The sequence below is a fragment of the Homo sapiens genome, chromosome X (assembly GCF_000001405.40).
Source record: "Homo sapiens chromosome X, GRCh38.p14 Primary Assembly".
NCBI classification, from domain to species: Eukaryota; Metazoa; Chordata; class Mammalia; order Primates; family Hominidae; genus Homo; species Homo sapiens.
This window is the reverse complement of record NC_000023.11, coordinates 130152943-130166246: the sequence shown is the minus strand read 5'-3', so window position 1 is coordinate 130166246 and position 13304 is coordinate 130152943. Positions and strand designations below refer to the sequence as shown.

The window sequence follows — 13304 nt, the reverse complement described above, 5'->3', positions numbered from 1 at the left end:
GGAAGCCAGGTTCCGCGCCTCGGACTCATGGAAAAACTGGATCTGGATCACTGCAAAAGAATCAGGAAGGCTTCGGTATCAAGTAACTGGTGTCCTAAAACCAAAAAACAAAGTGCGATGCCGGGGCTACGCTGTTGTGAGATGCTGTTATCAGTTCTCGTCACCAACACAGCGGCAGCACCAGGCACAACCGCCAATCAAAGCGGCCCCACGAGTCCCTCCTTGAACAGGTTCCTTAACTCGTTCAGTCCAACACTGTGCCACAAACTCGCGAAAACCGGCTACCTAGAGCCAGCGTCTTTGCGAGCTTGCGGCCAGCTAGTGCATGCGCAAATCCTCTCGCCGTGCGGACCAATCGCAATGCGGCAGCGAGTGCTACGCCTGCGCAGTAGGCCTCCGGTCGCCGTTCCCCTTCCCCGGCTCTAGCAGGCCGGCTTCTCTGTCCAATGCCCACCCGGAGCTGGGAGGAGGAGTCTGCGTAATGTGCGTGTGAAGAGACTGGGGGAGCTGGCCGGGGCTCACGGTGTTTGACCCGTCGGTCGTGCGTGAGAGGAAAGGGAAGGAGGAGGTCCCGAATAGCGGTCGCCGAAATGTTCCGGTGTGGAGGCCTGGCGGCGGGTGCTTTGAAGCAGAAGCTGGTGCCCTTGGTGCGGACCGTGTGCGTCCGAAGCCCGAGGCAGAGGAACCGGCTCCCAGGTGACTGACCCATTCCAGGCAACCTCCAAGTCCGAGGGCCTGGCGCCTTAGGCTCCCTGTGCCTTGCAGCCCTCTACCCCCGCGTCCCCGCGAGAAACTTAACACATAGTCACGTGAATTCCAAATTGGCAGACTCCGAACCCTGAGTCTTGCAAGCGGAGGAATTGGCTCAGCCATGCCGACCTGACCTTCAAGAGATTTGAACCCAGTAGTCGGCTTGAGGCCTTTTCCCGGGAGCGTTTGCTGTTCAGGGATCCCAGAACAACTGGCTGTCGGCGCCTCCCCGGCATCCCCACCCCCCACCCCCCTTTTTAGAGCAATGAGGTCAAGTAGACTTTGTCATTTACCGATTGAGACTTTAAACAGGACGTTTAAGCCCTACGCCTAAGTTTCTTGTGTAAATGAGGGTGTTATCTGCTCAGCCTTCCAAACCACAGATGAGATCCATGGATTTGAATGCCCAGTGAAACAGAAACGGTGCAGGGCAAGTAAGGAGTCGGTTGGTTGTGTACCAGACACCCAGAGAATTGGCCCAGACTTAATTGGAGATGCCTGAGCCGTGTACTTCTTGGTGGTCTTTAAGGCTTCAAAGAAACAGTTTGCAGAACGCATTGTATTTTGTTCTCCATTAAGTTGTTTCATCAAATTTTAGAGCTGGAAGGGATTTTGTGGTAAAGGTCAACCCACTCATTTTATAGATAATAAACTGAGGCACAGAGAGGTGAAATTACTTGCCAAAGGTCACATAGTTAATTAATAGGTAGAGCTAAGGATAGTTTGCTAGCCTCCAGGTCCTTAATCCCTTCGCTGCAACTCCATACTGCTTCCTAAAGTTGACCTCAAAAAGTTAAGAATGAATTCGGGTCTCTTCCCAGTAATTAGCCCATTGTACATCAGATATCCGTGAATTTATCTGAGCATGGCTTGAGCCTGCTTCTTTTCGTACTGCGTTACTTCATGGGGGCAATGAATGATCCACCTGTAGGAGTTGCTTTGAAAAAAAAATCAGTAATCCTTCAATGTCCACCCCTAGGGCATTTGCAATGTCAGAAGTTATCCTTGAGGCTTTTACAATACAGAAACACCTGGGTGCTTTAAAAATAAAAAGTGGAAAATATTTTCCTTGGGTTGTTAGGGTCTTTGCAAATGTGCATTTGAACAGTTTTTCCAGTTGCTATGCACAATGAAAATGTTTCCTGATAGGTGTATTTGAGTTATGTCCTGGGACATACTGCTCTTGGAACTTAAAACCTCTGCTTAGCTTTTAAACTAATGCCTTATCAATGGATGTCATCTTTGAGGGTTTTGTGTATTGAAATGATGGTGCTCTGTGCTTGTTGCACAGAAATTGAGATAACCTGAATTTTTTTTTTTTTTTTTTTTGAGACGGAGTCTCGCTTTGTCGCCCAGGCTGGAGTGCAGTGGCGCGATCTCGGCTCACTGCAATCTCCGCCTCCCGGATTCACGCCATTCTTCTGCCTCAGCCTCCAGAGTAGCTGGGACTACAGGCACCCGCCACCACGCCCGGCTAATTTTTTTTTTTTTTTTTTTGTATTTTTAGTAGAGACAAGGTTTCACCATGTTAACCAGGATGGTCTCGATCTCCTGACCTCGTGATCCGCCCACCTCGGCCTCCCAAAGCGCTGGGATTACAGGCGTGAGCCACCGCGCCCGGCGATAACCTGAATTTTTTCATCCACACTGGCCTTTCAAACTTTGAGTAGTTGTTTTGCTTAAGTCTCACAACTTTTACCAGCATTCTAAAGTCTGACCAAAAGTTCTCATCAATTAAATATGCATTTGCAAAGTTAAGTTGATTTATTAGACATTGGAAAGTGGTTGGTGTTGTTAGAACTACTGAAAAATACAGACTCAAATGGTTTTTTCCACTGCATGTCTTTGTTTGAAGGCAGTCTACTGTAGAATATATTCGGACTTCCTGACATATCCATCCATCTCTTTGCATACACTTGTTCTTTGTCCTTTGGCCGTGCACCAAAGTATGACATCATCTGCCTTTAAAAATGGGTGAGGGTAGTGTTAAATTTTCAAAAAGAAGTTCTGATACTCTCATTTTAGGAATTAACTCTGTTTTGTGGCTTGATTCCTAACTGCTTTTAATCTGATTTCTTTTTCATGTAGTAGCATCTACCGTGTGTTTTTGCACAGGTGGGAAAGAGCAAGGTTCGTTTATACACCATTTCTCCCTCCACCTTACCTTTAAACTTTTTTTTTTTTTTTTTTTTGAGGCGGAGTCTCGCTCAGTTTCCCAGAGTGCAGTGGCACGATCTTGGCTCACTGCAACCTCTGCCTGCTGGGTTCAAGCAATTCTCCTGCGTCAGCCTCCCAAGTAGCTGGGACTACAGGCATGCACCACCACGCCGGGCTAATTTTTTGTATTTTTAGTAGAGACGGGGTTTCACCATGCTGGCCAGGCTGGTCTCAAACTCCTGACCTTGTGATCCACCTGCTTCAGCCTCCCAAACCTTTAAACTTTAAACCTGCCTTGCAACTATCTCGTTGACATCTGTCACCATTGTCAGGTTCATTTCCATTATATGTTGCATTCTGCCTTAAAACCATGATAGCTACTATTTGTTTATTTACTTTATTTATTTGGATGCTCTGCCTCCTTCCAGAGATGATTGAAGGTAACTCATAGTCATCACTCTATGTCTGCATTCAGACACAGAGGAGCAGATAGGTTAGATAATAGACATTTTCTGTTCTATAATATTTTGTTTGGTCACCAAACAGTGCTGCCCATGTTATCAAACTGATCACCGACTCCCTGACTTTAGGTTCAAATGTTTGAACGTTTTTCTCTATTTGGAATCCTTCTCACCTCTTTAAAAAGGAAACTGAGCTCCTTGTGGGCAAGGATCCTGGCTTCCTGGACACTGCCAAATGTGACTTCGTTTTGAAGCCTAAAAGATGAGTCTTCCCCCGTTGTTTCTGCTGAGACAAGGCTTTGCAGAAGAAATTCTTTGGCAGCTCAGCCCTTTCTGTAACCAGTTAATAAGTTACATTTTCTAGAAATGTTCTAACTTTTTGAGGGAGTTACTGCATGTCTTAGCTTTCTTCTAGATCATGTTTCCAAAAGTTGCCTGCTCATGTGAATCGAGTAGAGAACCAGTTCCTAACCTTCTCCAGGAGATAATTCTGGGAATCTGTATTTTAACAAGCCCCTTGACATTCATATGATCAGACAAGTTTGGTATATACTGTTTTGGATGAGTAGTGACTCTTCCCCTTCTGTTTTGCTGACGTAAGGATTAAAAAACCAAACTGAGCAATCTGGAGTCTCTTGTGATTTGTATCAAGCTCATTTTCTCATATTCAGAATAGTAGCAGCCATTCTCCTAAATTAAACACTACCTGAGGACATGGATTATGTCCTATTTATTTTTGTGTCCTTAGCATCTTGTACCATCTCTGGCACATGGTAAATTCTCGTGACTGAACCCTAGTACAGCATTGTGAAGGACTTAACTTTGCAGAAGAGAGATTTTATTTTGTTATCTAAATAATTTTTCCTTGTGTGTCTTTCATCAGAATGGTTCACGCTGTACTATAGTTATTACTACTCTGTTTCTTCTAAAATTCCAGCAAGGGTTGATATTAAAAAATTAAAAAAGGCTGATAGCTAGGCGTGGTGGCTCACGCCTGTAATCCCAGCACTTTGGTATGCCAAGGTGGGCAGATCACTTGAGGTTGGAAGTTCAAGACCAGCCTGACCAACATGGAGAAACCCCGTCTCTACTAAAAATCAAAAATTAGCCAAGCGTGGTGGCACATGCCTGTAATCCCTGCTACTCGGGAGGCTGAGGCAGGAGAATTGCTTGAACCCGGGAAGTGGAGGTTGCGGTGAACCGAGATCACACCACTGCACTCCAGCCTGGACGACAGAGCGAGAATCTGTCTCAAAAAAAAAAAAAAAAGGCTGATAAATAGTTGTTGGATCCCTTGTAAAGAATCATTTATCTACAATGGACAGACTATCTAGGCTTGTCCTGTGTTTTTTTTTTTTTTTTTTTCTTCAAACAGAGTCTTGCTCTGTTGCCCAGGCTGGAGTGCAGTGACACAATCTCAGCTCACTGCAACCTCTGTCTCCTGGGTTCAAGTGATTCTCCTGCCTCAGCCTCCCGAGTAGCTGGGATTACAGGCACCTGCCACCACGCCCAGCTAATTTTTGTATTTTTAGTGGAGACGGGGTTTCACTGTATTGGCCAGGCTGGTCTCGAACTCCTGACCTCGTGATCCGCCCACCTCGGCCTCCCAAAGTGCTGGGATTACAAGTGTGAGCCACCGCACCTGGCTGTCCTGTGTTTTCTCCATGCTGGAAAAATCAGTTTGACCCTCAGGAAACAAGTCTCAAGAACGTATAGATCTCTTAACCATTTAGGATCCCTGGGTGCCTCAATTGTGAAGTTGTGTTTTTGGAAAACGCCTTTTGGGAGTATGGAAAAACAGGAAATCACAAAACCTACAGAAATGAACTTGCTAGTTTAGCTACTATTCTAATGCTGGTCTATGGTGTTTGAGGTTACTCATTTATGATTAAGCAACCTAAAATAAATGGAATCTGGCTAAAGCTTTTTTTAAAAAAAACTCTTAAGTTTATTTTTTCATTTTATTTATTTATTTATTTATTTATTTATTTATTTTTAAGTAGAGACGGGGTTTCACCATGTTGGCCAGGCTGGTCTCAAACTCGTGGTCTCAAGTGATCCACCAACCTCGGCCTCCCAAGGTGCTGGGATTACAGATGTGAGCCACCGCGCCTGCCCTGGCTAAAATTTCTTTGCAAAGAATTATTTAAAATGTTCAGTTATCCGGGCACGATGGTGCATGCCTGTAGTCCCAGCTATTCTGGAGGCTAAGGTGGAAGGATCACTTGAGCCCAGGAGTTTGAGTCTAGTCTGGGCAACATACTGATACCTTTTCATTTAAAAAAAATTTTAATAGTAATAAGAATGTTCAGTCAATATCAATAGAATTAGGAAGAATTTCTATTTCCTTCCTTCATTAATTCAACAAATATTTATTGAGCAAACATCTGTGTGTCGTCTGGCGCTGTTGCACAGGTCAAACTGGCTTCTTAAGAATGAAATCCTAAGTGTGAGGAAGAAATTGCATTGTATGTGTGGTCTGACTGCAGAAAACCTAAAATAAGTAAACTGCTGCCATGATGAAAAGTCAAGGAGTAAGTTGGCTTTTCCATGTTAGTAAGACAAGTGAAAAGGCATGTTTCAGTCACGATGTAATATTTCCTAAAATTTTGAAGCTATGGGGAGAAAGGTTTGGGAGGAATTTCATAGGGAAAAGAAAATGTGGGGAGGGGGAATGTAAGCAAACAATACTTAGTACATTTTACAAAATTAAAGTCACTTTGTAGGTATATAAAAAGTTTTAAAAGTTGGTTTATTAATGAGAGTAGTGTATTACATTTCTTTTCAAGCAGTAGTTTAAATATTAACCAGTTTACTTTTTTTTAAAGTCAATTTACTTTTCCAGCCTGGACAACATGGTGAAACCTCGTATCTACAAAAAATAGAAAAATTAGCTGGGCGTTGGTGGCTCACGCCTGTAGTCCCAGCTACACAGGAGGCTGAGGCTGGTGAATGGCTTGAGCCCAGGAAGCATAGGTTGCAGTGAGCCGAGATTGTGCCACTGCACTCCAGCTTGGGGACAGAGTGAGACCCTGTCTCAAAAAAAAAAAGTCCATTTACTTTTAAATGCTTTTTTCTTTTTTTTTTGGCAAATTGAGACAAAAGCTGCTGAACTTTCCTAAATCTACACTGTTAGTATTATCAGTTTGTGAAAAGCAAGCAGAAGGAGAATAAACATGAGTATGATATTAAAACAAATTTGTTATAATGTCTGTATTTAGGGTCTTCTGGAGGAATAAACAGAATTAAAAAAAAGAAAAACAAAAACAAAAAAAATTTATTTTTAGTAAATGAACCAGGGGTAGAGGTGGAGGACAAACTAAATTCATTGAACTAAATCACATGGAACTTTTCCTAACCAGTTTCATTTTCTAAGCTCTGAGAGTTACCACTTTCTACTTCTGATGGTTCATTATTTTTGTAAGCTTCTGAAAATCAAAAGCTTGCCCAGATTGAGATAAGTTTCTGCCCCGCTCACGTTTTTATTTTCATGATTTGTCATTATTTCCAAATCTCAACCATTTTATTTCATGTGGTGATGAAGAGTTCTAAAAGCAGGTAAGAAGAACAGTAAAGAAAAATACATTTCCTTTTCTAAGAGTGTAGATCTAAAGTCTCTTATCTGTAATTCAGAAATTGAAATTGTAGAATGACCAAAATTTAAGACTATCAAGTTTTCATAACTCATTTGCCAGTAAAACCTGACCTGAACTGGAGAGAGGCTACTTTATAATCTTTTTAAAATATCACTTAGCGTGATTGGTCATATTAATATGTTTAACTATGAATTGCTGCCCTTTACCTTGCTAGGTGTCACTATGTGGTATATGCCCCATATACTTAAGACCAGATAATTCAAAGTTCCAAATTATACATGGTCCCCAGGATTTCAGATGAGAGACCACAGATCCACATTGGGCTTGTTTTTACCCGTCTGTGGCCTAACGTTATGAAAGCAAGGGGGAAATTCCTTCTCTAATCTCTGCAAGTATACATGGGATGCTACTACCAGTGTCCATTCTGTTTGTCTTTTAAAGCCTAGACAGGACAGGGACATAAGTATCAGCCTCTAGACTAAGCTTGTCCAACCTGCAGCCCAACACAAATTTGTAAACTTTCTTAAAACATTATGAGATTTTTTTGCGATTTTTTTTTTTTTTTTTTTTTTTTTTTTAGCTCATCAGCTATGGTTAGTGTTAGTGTATTTTATATGTGGCCCAGGACAATTCTTCTTCTTCCCATGTGGCTCGGGGAAGCCAAAAGATAGGATATACCTGCTCTAGACAGATGGTTCTCAATGTGTGGTCCCCACCCTAACAGCAGCAGCAGCAACAGCAGCATCCCCTGGGAACTTGTTAGAAATGCACATTCTTGAGCCCCATCCCAGATCTATTGAATCAGAACCTCTGGGCCTGGGGCCTGGCCAGCTTTGTTTTATAAAACCTTCAGGGCATTGGGATACACTCTCAAGTTTGAAAACCACTGCTCTAGATCGGGGTCTGCCAACTACAGCCACAGGCCAAAGCCAGTCAGTCACCTGCTTTTGTATGCCCCAGGAGCCATGAGTGGGTTTTGCATTTTTTTTCTTTTTTCTTTTTCTCTTTTTTTTTCTTTGAAATGGAGTTTCGCTCTCGTTGCCCAGTCTGGAGTGCGATGGCACAATCTCGGCTCACTGCAACCTCCGCCTCCTGGGTTCAAGCTATTCTCCTGCCTCAGCCTCCCGAGTAGCTGGGATTATAGGCATAAGCCACCACGCCCGGCTAATTTTTTGTATTTTTAGTAGAAACAGGGTTTCTCCATGTTGGTCAGGCTGGTCTCTAACTCCCAACCTCAGGTGATTCACCCTCCTCGGCCTTCCAAAGTGCTGGGATTACAGGCGTGAGCCACTGCACCTGGTCTTTTTTCTTTTCTTTTTTTTTTTTTTTGAGACGGAGTCTCACTCTGTTGCCAGGCTGGAGTGCAGTGGTGCGATCTCGGCTCACTGCAACCTCCGCCTCCCGGGTTCAAGCGATTCTCCTGCCTCAGCCTCCCGAGTAGCTGGGACTACAAGCATGCCCCACCACACCTGCCCAGCTAATTTTTAACGGGGTTTCACCATGTTGGCCAGGATGGTCTCGATCTCTTGACCTCGTGATCTGCCCACCTAGGCCTCCCAAAGTGCTGGGATTACAGGCGTGAGCCACCACGCCTGACCTACATTTTTTAAACGGCTGAAAAAAAAAAGAATTTCGTGACACATGAAAATTATATAAAATTTAAACTTCAGTGTCCATAAAGTTTTATTGGAACATGGCCACATCCATTCATTTATGTATTGTCTTTGGCTGCTTTTATGCAGCATCAGTGGAATTGAGTAGTTGCAGCAGACACCAAATGGCCCAGAAAGCTGAAAATATTTACCATCTGGTTCTTTGCAGAAAAAATTTGCTGCTCTAGGTTGATAGTCAACAAACACGAGGAGTAATCACAGAATAATCAGAGACTGAGACCTTCCTTTATCTGAAAATGTCAGCGTCTCCCTAGAAAAAGAAATCTACAGAACTCTTATATTTCTATGTACAGGTGCTGTTATGATCATCACATCATTACATAGCTCTGCATAGTTTTACGTCAAAATAACCTTTGTATTATTTTGGAGGAGTAAGAGTCAAGGAGTTGCTGGACACTTCACATTTTGTCATTATAAAAAATATTTCATAGTCCAAAATTTTTTAGTTCTTTGGGGGAGAGAAACTCATTAAAATTTTTTTTTCTGATTTTCTTCTGAGCTTTAACATTTCTGTATTCCAGGACACATTACCTTTCATGCAAGATTGAACTGTGTCCTGGTTAGAGTGTTGCGTTTTATTTTGTGCAAGATTGGAACCATCTAGATTACTCCTTAAATGGTTGTTATAATGTCCCAGGTAGCCCATGGTTAACTTTGTATATCTACCTATTCAGTCATCTCTCTGTGTTTACTTAATTTATGGGAAAGACATGAAGGAAGAGGTATTTGATGAACTGTTCGTGTTTTTCATGATCTTTTCTGGAAGCTGAAAATTTTCTCACTGGACAGCATTAAATTTTACTCTTAAAAACTTCAGCAACTTAAGAGCGTTCATTCAGCTGTCTGTAGTATTTATATATGCAGTTTTGATGATATTTTTCTTGATCATTTAACGGTGAATATCTGTGGGCAATAAGTCTTGTACAGTGCATTGACATTTAATCATAAATATGTATTAACTATTTTATTTTTGTATGTGTGTGTCTTAATAAATTATGTTTCTTAGGCAACTTGTTCCAGCGATGGCATGTTCCTCTAGAACTCCAGATGACAAGACAAATGGCTAGCTCTGGTGCATCAGGGGGCAAAATCGATAATTCTGTGTTAGTCCTTATTGTGGGCTTATCAACAGTAGGAGCTGGTGCCTATGTAAGTAGAAAAGCAGCGTGTATAAAGAAGCTGCCAAACAGCTCCCATTAATAGACTCGATAGTATTCTGCTTTAAAACTTTTGCAACTAATTCCCCTTTCTCCTTTTGGAAAAATTTTCAAAAAGCCTTCTCTTAAGTGCCTGCTGCCTAATATCTTATGGGAGCCAATTCTGGAATGACTGAAATTTAATCTCATGTTGATTGATTTCTGCTCTTTTCACTTGTCTTTTTCTTCTTTACTTGAAAGCCACTATGTTTTCCTAGATTCGAGTAACCCACAAAATTGTACCTGTTTTCTTGGATGTCACACACTAACCTGTGAATAAAGTCAAAATCCATTGCAGCTCCTTAGCACAATATTTGATTTTGACCTATTTGTCAGACATTTTATTTCCTCAGCTTGAGGTTCACATTAAAAAAACAACAGCCTTCAATCAAAAATATTAAGTGTTCCTAAAAGGAAAGCTATCCCTGAATCTTACCCAAAGACTAAATTACAGAAACAGGGCTAGTATCACTGATTTTAGAATGGAGTTTGTTTGAGGTGAGAAATATGGTGTTTAATTGCTATGTAGTATTAGCACCATTATATCTCCTTAAATGAACTCCGATCAGCTTAGCAGGTCACAGAGGAATTATTTTGTGGGTGTTTTTTTCCTAACTTGGCAGGGTTTACTGTGACTAAGCCGATCAGTCTAAAGTTGGATCCTGTAAGGTTGAGTGAACCAACTTAGATAACACCTAGTAACACCCTTGATTGAAGGAAGCTGTTTGTTTTACTTAAGCCATTACAAGTTTAGGGGTTTTTTTCTACATTGGTAAGACAATGAATTTATCTTTGTTCCTTGGTTGCTAGCTTAAAGAAAGGGACATGAAAATTATTTGAAGCTACCTATATCCTCATCCCCTGATGTGACTCCCAAACGGACAAGAAAAGTAGATAGTTCTTGCCTATTGTGAGTCAAATCAGAGTAAGAAATAGGCGAGAGCTGTCTGATAATGTGGTTTGATGAAATACACATTCTGCAATCCTGGAGCAGCATTTTTTTCTTTTTCCTTTTTTAGCACAGGGTAACCAAAACTGCTTCTCTGCCTTTGTATTGAATGTTTCTTCATTAATACTTAGTACTCTGTTTCCTTTTGTTTCTCTCTTGGCCTTATCTTTACCTACAGTTGTGCAGTCTCATCACCTAGGATCCCCTTCTAGATCACTAGCATCTACAGGTGCTTCTGGGAAAGATGGCAGCAACCTAGTGTACTTCTTAATTGTAGGAGCAACAGTCACTGGGGCAGGAGTTTATTATGTAAGATGCTTACACTAAAACATATTTTGGGGTAGGGTGGGTGAGCCCATGGCACTAATGAAAACTTGATACATTAGAATATAGTAAAATATTCACAGCATGTGCTTTCTCTAGGTGTTTATTAAAGGGACATTGTCAGTCACTAGAGAGTCCTCAAATCTCATTCTTCAAACTGTTGAAGTCCTACCAGATATAGCTAAAGCCACAAGTCTAATGATGATCACAAATCCTCATCATTAACTCTTTCTTTGAAACTTTTGCCAATTTTATAATGATTTTGTATGATACCAAATTATATTGTGCTTTAGTGCTGCATATCTAACAAGACAGTCTCAGAGTAAATGTTAAATAAGCAAATAAAGGTAATGTGAACATCATCCATTTTTGAATCATTTTAGGTAAAATGTAATGTTTGTGTTTTGTGGGAAACGATCAACCAGACTTTGACTATGAAAAGGCATTTTATTGAATGCTTCTGAGGAGATCCAAAAAGCCATAGAAACTGCAATATTCTCCCCATCCACCTTTCCACCCACAGCCTCTATTTCAAAGTAAATTCATTTGGCAGTGTCCCTTTGTAATCTCTAATTTGGTCAAACTAGTGGCTGAAGCGGTACAAGCTAACACATTCATGTAGATTGCTTTCTGTAATGCCTCTCATTCGTAATTCAGATACTACCCTCTGAGCCTTACTTTTTGCATTTCATATCTCTCAACTTTTCCCATCAGTTCCACCCCATTCATTCAAAAATAGATTTAAAGCCTTTGTGTTCAGTATGTTGGTAACAATTTAAACCTGATAAATTCCTGGTCCGTGTTGCTGTACCAGAGTTGGATGGCCTCCACAGAGTTGACCATGCAAATTTTCTTGATGCCAAGCTACAAGACAGGGCTGGTCACTGTTCCTTTCTCCTGCCTTAGAAATATCTAAGAAGCACAAGTTCCTCTCAAGTCATTCATTTAAATGCCTCATTGTACTCTGTGTTTATCCAACACTGGTAATAATAAAGCTACCGTATTATAAAGTGGTTCCAGGTTAAATGATAAGCTTTTGTCTACCTACAACTGTTATTGAACTGTTATGTACAGTTTTGTTTTAGGTTCTAAATTATTGAAAACTTGATCTGAGGTGGCTTAGTTTTTTTGTCCGAAATTGGTATTAGTCTCAAGAGAACTATGAACTTAAAATCAGTGTTCAGATTTGATGAGATATAGCTGTAAGTTGTTGAACGTTTGTATTAGTTTCTTGGGCTGCCATAACAAAACACCACGGACTGAGTGGCTTAAACAACAGAGGTTTATTTTCTCATAGTTCTGAAGGCTGGAAAGGCCAAGATCAAGGTCACACAGGGTTCAGTTTCTGGTGAGGGCTCTCTTCTTAGCTTTCAGACAGCCTACCCTCTTGCTGTGTCCTCACATGGTTTTGCGGGGTGGGGGACGGAGAGGGAGAAAGAGTGAGCAAGGGAACTCCGGTGTCTTCCCCTTCCTGTATGAGCTCCAGCTCTATCTGATTAGGGCCCCACCCTTAAGACTTCATTCAATCATTATCACCTCCCCAATGCCCCATTGCCAAATACCATCACATAGTGGGTTAAGGCTTCAATATAGGAATAGGAAACATTCAGTCCATAACAGTGAATAGCGTTTCTTCGTAACTTTTTTCTGTCATTTGAAGAAATGTTCCTAACTTAAGTATAACTATTACTTTGGCAATTCCTGTATTGGGAGCTCTTTACCTCCCTCCCACTTTACCCTCCAAAAAAAGGGAGTAAACTGCCGACTTTTTTTTTTTTTTTTTTTTTTGAAACGGAGTCTCTCTGTGTCGCCCAGGCTGGAGTGCAGTGGCGCGATCTCGGCTAACTGATACGTCCGCCTCCCGGGTTCATGCCATTTTCCTGCCTCAGCCTCCCGAGGAGTAGCTGGGACTACAGGCGCCTGCCACCATGCCCGGCTAATTTTTTTTTTTTTTTTTTTTTTGTATTTTTAGTAGAGACGGGGTTTCACTGTGTTAGCCAGAATGGTCTCCATCTCCTGACCTCGGGTGATCCACCCGCCTCGGCCTCCCAAAGTGCTGGGATTACAGGCGTGAGCCACCGTGCCCAGCCTAAACTGTCGACTTTTAAAAATTTTTACCATGATCTGCAGTGAGAAATACATTTCTTTTACAACCCATTTTATGACTACAAATACATAAAAAGAAACAAAGCTTCAAA

General features: G+C 41.6%; 2 protein-coding genes across 5 annotated transcripts in view, besides 1 other annotated feature; one reads left to right on the top strand and one right to left on the bottom strand.

Annotated features, from left to right (window-relative positions):
* The window catches only part of RAB33A (RAB33A, member RAS oncogene family), a 74248-nt gene that overhangs the window by 18624 nt on the left and 42320 nt on the right, over positions 1-13304 (bottom strand). The window lies entirely within an intron of this gene.
* The window catches only part of AIFM1 (apoptosis inducing factor mitochondria associated 1), a 36480-nt gene continuing 23581 nt past the window's right edge, over positions 406-13304 (top strand). For 2 of the 4 annotated variants that reach the window (NM_004208.4, NM_001130847.4), the window contains exons 1-2: positions 406-696; positions 9644-9786. In NM_004208.4, the coding sequence (NP_004199.1) occupies positions 591-696; positions 9644-9786 (249 nt within the window). In that variant the 5' untranslated portion in view covers positions 406-590. Of the gene's footprint in view, positions 697-9643; positions 9787-10960; positions 11092-13304 lie in introns of all 4 variants that reach the window. The other 2 variants (NM_145812.3, NR_132647.2) reach the window with 2 other exon arrangements.
* Positions 418-757: an enhancer, noted in NCBI's record as "active region_29939". NCBI's record gives its function as "activates an Ori minimal core promoter by ATAC-STARR-seq in GM12878 lymphoblastoid cells {active_cell/tissue: GM12878}" and the evidence as "EXISTENCE:reporter gene assay evidence [ECO:0000049][PMID:35858748]".